The sequence below is a fragment of the Homo sapiens genome, chromosome 5 (assembly GCF_000001405.40).
Source record: "Homo sapiens chromosome 5, GRCh38.p14 Primary Assembly".
Taxonomy (NCBI): Eukaryota; Metazoa; Chordata; class Mammalia; order Primates; family Hominidae; genus Homo; species Homo sapiens.
In genome coordinates, this window is record NC_000005.10 from 98,759,626 (window position 1) to 98,767,166 (window position 7,541).

A 7,541-nucleotide genomic window follows, 5' to 3' on the forward strand; every position below is an offset into this window, starting at 1 on the left:
ATAGCCAAGCATGCTTCCACCACAGAATCTTTGCACTGGCTATTTCCTCTGACTTAAATTCCCTTTTTTCAGATAGCTACATGGATCACTCTATCACCTCTTTCAAGTGTTTGCTCAAATGTCACTTTCTCAGTGAAGGCCATTCTAACCACCCTTTCAAAACTTGCACATACAAACTGGCATTCTGCATCCCATTATCATGTCCTATTTTTCCCAAAGCACTTTACACCTTTTAATATATTATAGAATATCCTCATGTCTATGATTATTGCCTATCTCCTCCTCTAGGAGGGAGAAAGATTTTTATGTTTTATTCATTAATGCATATCTCAGTTCCTCTTTTCTGTTTCATTGCTATATCCCTAGTGCCTAAAAGAGTGTCTGACACATAGTAGGTAGTTCACTAAACATCTGTTGAAAGATTGATTAGCCAAACAACTAATTGATTGGTTGAATGAATGAATAAATGAATATAATAATACTATCTGTTTAAAGTAATAATAAGTGCTGCAGCTGCAGCTATGCACTGATAATCTGAATTATTTCCCATTCTGATTGTATTCAACTTTTTCTCAATACCCCTAGTTCTCTTTCCAGGCTCTGAATGTGGTAAGAAACCATTAGTATTGCTGTGTTTCTAGTACCATGGACACCACACATGCATTACCATAATCACACAGCCCTACACAGGAAAATAGTGAGGAAATGGCATAAGCTAAGCTGTGAAGCAGACAAGAATATGTCCATCAGATAATTCTGATTGTGAATTCATTAAAAACTAGAAGACTCCGATGAAATCAGTTGGAGTGTATATCAAAATTATACTCTCAAGATCAAGCCATAGGCTGCTAGGCATTTAATCAAGCCAAGAATATTCATTCTTGACAAGTACTATATAAACTGGCAGAATGTAAATTGAGGAAATAAGAGACTCTTTAGCCCTCTCTTTTATTGAAAAGAGATTCTTGATTGGTCTAGGAGGGGACCACAGGATTAATTTAAAATTTGTAACAATAATTCTTAAGGCCTTTCTTTTAACTAGTTCATTTTCAATTTCCCTATTAATTACACTGACTTGATTTATCATTGCCTCAAAACTTTTATGACGTATCTCTGTGCATTTTAACATTAGAACTCTCCAGTAAATAATATAGAACAAAGAAGTCTAGTGGAAACAACTGTACTTTAGAATCAAAAAGACAAAGTTCAAACCCAGTACTAACCATTTATTGGGTATCTTTAGGAGGTTATTTTTAATTGTGGTAGGAACATTTAACATAAGATCTACTCTCTTGACAAATTTATAACTGTACAGTTTGTTAATTATAGGTACAATGTTGTACAGCAGATTTCTGGAACTTATTTGTCTTGCTCAACTGAAACGTTGTACCCGTTTGACTAGCAATTCTCCATTTCTCCCTCCCCCTGCCCCTGGCATCCAACTTTCCACTTTGATTCTATGTATCTGACTATTTTAGACATTTCATGTAAGTGGAATCATGCAGTATATGTCCTTCTATGACAAGTTTATTTCACTTAGTATAATTTTCTAGAGGTTCATCCATGCTATCAGATATTGTAGAATTTCCTAGTTTTTTAAGTCTCAGTAACATTTCACTTTACTTATACACTACATTTTCTTTATCCATTCATCCATCAATAAACATTTAGCTGTTTTCACATCTTGGCTATTATGAATAGCACAGCAATGAACATAGAGATGATAATATCTCTTCAAGACCCAGATTTCAGTTCTTTTAGGTGGAAACCCAGTAGTGAGATTGCTGAATCATATGCAGTCCTATTTTTAATTTTTGAGCAATCTTCATACCATTTTTGATAGCAGCTGCACCATTTTGCATTCCCACCAATAGTGTGCAAGGGTTTCAACTGCTGTAAATCCTAGCCAATATCTCGTCTTTTTTTTTAATAACAGCCATTTTAACAAGTGTGAGGTGATATCTCATTTCTCTGATGATTAGTAATGTTGAGCATTTTTCATACACCTATTGGCTATTTATATGTCTTCTTTAAAAAAATATCTATTCAAGTCTTAAGCCCATTTTTTTGATAAGATTATTAGGACTGATTTTGCTATTGAAGTGTAGTTCCTTATATATTTTGAAGATTAACTCATCAGATATATAGCTTGCAAATATTTTCTTCAATAGCACAGTTTGCCTTTTCACTTTGTTGACTGTTTTCTTTGCTGTGCAGAAGCTTTTTAGTTCAATGTAGTTCCACTTGTCTGTTTTTGCTTTCATTGTCCATGTTTTTGGTGTCAGATCTGTGAAATCATTGCCAAGACCAATCAGTAGTATAGAGCTTTTTCCCTATTTTTTCTTCTAGTAGTTTTACAGTTTCATTTCTTATGTTTACATCTTTAATTCACTTTGAGATGATTTTTGTGTATGTTGTGAGATAATAGTTCAATTTCTATCTTCCCATGTAGATATCCATTTTTCCCAATTCCATTTGTTGAAGATACCATTCTTTTTCCATTGTGTATTCTTGGCACCCTTGTCAAAGATAAGTTGACTGTATATTTGTTGATTTATTCCTAGGCTCTCCATTCTACTCCATTAGTATATATGTCTATTTTCATGTCAGTACTGTATTGTTTTAATTATCGTTGCTTTGTAATGTATTTTATATTTATGTATTATATGATATATTATATATACTAACATTTATATATTGTAATATATTGGACAGGTTTTAAAATCTTTCAACCTAAATTTTTTCATCTATAAGAACAATAATCTGTGCTTCAGAGAGAGGTTATGAGGATACACTTAGATCTCCAGGAACCAGACACCAAGTGGATTTAAATTAAATAGATTTAAATTAAATAAATGCCTCTTCGGTTCCTTATTCCCGGGCAGTTTGGAAACAATAAAAAAAACTCCTTCATTCAAATGCCAATTGGAATTAAAGGACTCTGCCTTAGATTGCTAAAAAGTCTTCTGGGTATGGTACTTTCTGCCATAGTTTTTTCCTATTCCTTGAACACTCCAAAATTGTTTTCACCTTGAGACACTGACCTCTACCTTGAATGCTTTTCCCCATTTTACTACATAACTATCTTGTACTCAGGCCTTAGCATGGGATCTCAGAAATTTATTTCCATTAACGGTGGCTCTTTCTCCCCCTTTTACTCTCTATCATAACACCCTGTTCCTTAAGCTCTATAGCATTATTGAATATTGACTTGTTTGCCTGCTTATATTTCCTTTTTTTATTTTTATTTTTTTTGACAGAGTCTCACTCTGTTGCCCAGGCTGGAGTGCAATGGCACCATCTCGGCTCACTGCAACCTCCACCTCCGGGGTTCAAGAGATTCTCCTGCCTCAGACTCCCAAGTAGCTGGGATTACAAGCATGCACCACCACGCCTGGCTAATTTTTGTATTTTTAATAGAGATGGGGTTTCACTATGTTGGACAGAGTGGTTTTGAACTCCTGACCTCAAGTTATCCACCCGCCTCAGCCTCCCAAAGTGCTGGGATTACAAGCGTGAGCCACCTCACCGGGCTGCCTGCTTTTATTTCCACCACCAGAATGTACATTCATGGGAGCCTGTTGAATTGTTTACAGCAGTATCCCCAGGACTTAGATTGCCAGGACCATTAGTCAGTGCTCAAAAACATTACTTAATGAAAGAAATTTAAAAATTTCTATTTGAGGATGAGTGAGCATCAGATTCTTTTTTGACAGGGAGCAAGTATGCTGGATGCTGACTGCTTACCAGGGGATGTAGGGGCAAGAAGCCCCATCCTCTCTGCTAGTCCCTACCCCCCAGGGCCAGGGGAAAAGGAAACTTCATCTATTTCACATAGAAGTCTGCACCAGTCATGCATTCCTCACATTCTTCATTGATGGACAGACCCAGCTGGGACAGCTGAAGAGCGCATTAACAACTCGATAGCAAGAGTCCAAACCTTAGAGAATCCCTTCCTCCTCCCAAGTTATCCTCTTCTTTTGAAACCAGCCCCACTCCTAATTCAGCCGGATTTCTGTCACATAAATTTCTGACAAACATGCGCTATTTTTATTCCTGAGTTCATTCTCAGGCTTGAGTTTAATCTTGCTTCTGGAGCAAACCCTACCTGAGCCTTCTCATGTGGCTCAGACAATTTGAAATGATAGGACAATGAAATACAAGAAGATAAGAAAAAAAAATTTAATATGTTTGTACTTGTAATTATTTGACCACTGATTTCTTGGTCCTATTATTTTTTCAATTTTGTTAAGTTGTGTTAAAACATATCTCCTTGGAAATTTTGCTAGTATTGGTAAGGTATAAATACCTATTATCTGTATATTAAAATATGCAGGGTTTTTTAAAATGTAAACTCTTAATTAGGAGTATTGGCTATAAGAATCAAGAGTATTCAATTTCCCATATGTCTTAGATTTCATGGTACTTTAAGGATTGCTGCATATTCCATTCTGTCGTGTTTTTATAATATTCTTGCCATTGTATATACAGGTGAGTGCGGGAATACAGATTTTGCCTATGAAAGAAACTATGAATTACAGCAATAGGTCCAAATTGGTTCTCATATGGGCACCTTCAGTTATTTACTTCACTGAAATGGTTCTTTTCTAACTTCATGGAGTTCATTTTTATAAAGCAAATGTAATGGAGAAATATGGATATCTTTGGGATGTATAAACTGTCACTTTAGACTTAAGATCTAGAAAAGACTGTATATGTGTGTGTTCGTATATCTGGGTGTGTCTACATGATTGCAACTGGAATAATCGGCAGATACAATGAAAAAAAGTCCAGTCCTTGCTGTTTTATGTTCTACTATTTTAAACTGTGCTGAATGGCTAAAATGTTTTCACTTTGGGTTTTTTTTTTTTTCCTTAAAAAAATGAGACTTATTAGAAAAAAAAAAACTAACACTGGAAAGGGAGCGAGGCCAAGGAAAGAGGGGTGTGTGTGTGTGTGTGTGTGTGTGTGTGTGTGTGTGTGTGTATAAAAGGAAAGCATGGTGAAGGAGCCCCTTCCAGCCCTTATTCCATGAATACAAAGAAGGAAAGATGCTGGAGCCATTTTTTCCTGGCCAGCCTGACAGAAAAGGAACCACTAAGCTGAAGGTACATGGAGGATAGGGGTCAGGTCTGTTTTTTCACTGTTGTATAATCAGTGCCCAATTACACTGGTTAACAGCCGGGAAACATTTGTTGAAGAATGAAGGAATGAAGAGAGGGAGAGAAGAGGGAGGGAGAGCTTCTATATGCCAGCCAATGATGGAAAGATGAAGAGAGAAAGTTCTTCATGAGAAGAGCTTTTCTAATACTAAGTGGACCAAAAATAAACCTTTTATCCCGCTACTTCTTTATAAATATTGACTTTACTAATTTAATGTGTATTCATGTGCCTTTTTCTTGTACACATACGTAGGAATACTTTAGAACTGCAGGATTTCTCTTGAAAATCAGGCTTGCATTACTGATAGAATATAATAGTGTTCATCTTCTACAGGATAGCCCTTTTTTTTCTTTTACTTTTCTTTGTTCATTGGGCTTGTGGTTAGACATTTTATCTTTTAAATTTGCAATTTACCAGAATTCCTTTCCTTAACTATCACATGAGCCAATCGTTCAAGACAACTGTCCTGTATCTTTGTTTGAGGGTGGGGAGGAAGCAAAGCAAATCCTCACCCTTTTAAAAGTACAAGTAGGTCTTAGATCTTCTGTTTTCACTCTATTTAAACACTGATCCTATAAAACAAAACAGAATTTTATGAACTTCAATGTTTAATTAAACAAACATTTATTAAATCACATCTAGAAAGCAACATTTTCTTCTAATATTATTTTATAAGTATTCTTTTTTTTTTTGAGATAGAGTCTCATTGTATTGACCAGGCTGGCCTCAAACTCCTGGTCTCAAGGGATCCTCCTGCCTCAGCCTCCAAAGTAGTTGGAACTGCAGGCTCATGCAGCCAAATGTAGCCCATTTGATATTCTGTTCCTTGCCAATAACACTATTAGTGCTACTAATATTTAAAATAGTGTAATTTATTAACAATAATAATTCTCAAACATTATGAGTAAACAAAGGAATTATTAAGTTAGGCGTCAATCTGAAAATAATTTAGAGAATAATTTTTTTAAAAACATGCAAGAAAAGTAAAAAAAGAAAAACTAGAAAATGGATTCATATGCTTCTTGATAATTAAGATAACTTCCACAATTGCAAATGAAAAAATACTTAGGAACATCAGGAGTAAGCAAGCTATGATCTTGACAACTGAAGGTTTAGATGTACACGTTAGCTGAATGTTCTAAAAGCTCAAGTGCTATCACCTTTTAGTGAATATTCAGAAGATGGTGCACATACATGTTGTATCAGCAAAAAGTTTCTTTATAGTCAATAGAAAAATGCTAAGTCAACTTTACTGAAAGGGGACTTTTTGTCCCTTCTCTATTCCCAACTTTGTTCTATTTGCTTGATGTGACGAAAAAGAAAGATCAAGGCCAGGCGTGGTGGTTCATGCCTGAATCCCAGCAGTTTGGGAGACCAAGGCCAGTGGATCACCTGAGGTCAGGAGTTCGAGACCAGTCTGACCAACATGGTGAAGCCCTGTCTCTACTAAATACAAAAAATTAGCCGGGCGTGGTGGTGCATGCCTGTAGTCCCCGCTACTTGGGAGGCTGAGGCAGGAGAATCGCTTGAACCCAGGAGGCGGAGGTTGCAGTGAGCCGAGATTGTGCCATTGCACTCCAGCCTAGGCAACAAGAGAGAATCTCTGTCTCAAAAAAAAAAAAAAAGAAAGAAAGAAAAATATAAATGAGATAAGGTGGCAATGTTGTAAAGGATTGAGCAAGATTTTTTAACAATGGGGAGAAGAAACAAGCCATGTCCTTTTACCAATGAAACATCCAAGGTTTATTTAGAAATGTAAATGTTTTAGCATATTTGAATGAGGCAATGGGAGTGTTGAGATTGATACAACTGAAAGCAACAGAATACTGTATAACATTTTGACTATAGTTACTAACAAAGTATTCTATTCTTGAAATTCACTGAGAGTAGATGTTAATTGTACTCGCCACAAAAAAGATAAGTATGTGAAGTAATGCATATGTTAATTAGCTTGATCCAGTCATTCTACAATGTATACATATTTCAAAACACTATGTTGTATACCATAACTATATATAGTTTTATTTGCCAATTAAAATATAACTTCTGTTTTTTAGAGACAGGGTCTCACTTTGTTGCCCAGGCTGGAGTGCAGTGACCAGACCACAGCTCTCTGTAACCTGAAATTCCTGGGCCCAAGTCATCTTCCTACTTCAGCTTCCCAAGTAGCTAGGATTACAGGCGTGTGCCACCACGTCTCCTAATTTTTTAAAATTTTGTAGTAACAAGGTCTTGCTATGTTCCCCAGGTTCATCTCTAACTCCTGGACTCAAGTGATCCTCCAGCCTTGGCCTCCCAAAGCACTGGGATTACAGGTGTGAGCCATCATACTGAGCCTAAAATATAACTTAAAAAAAAATGAAAGCAACAGAATTAGA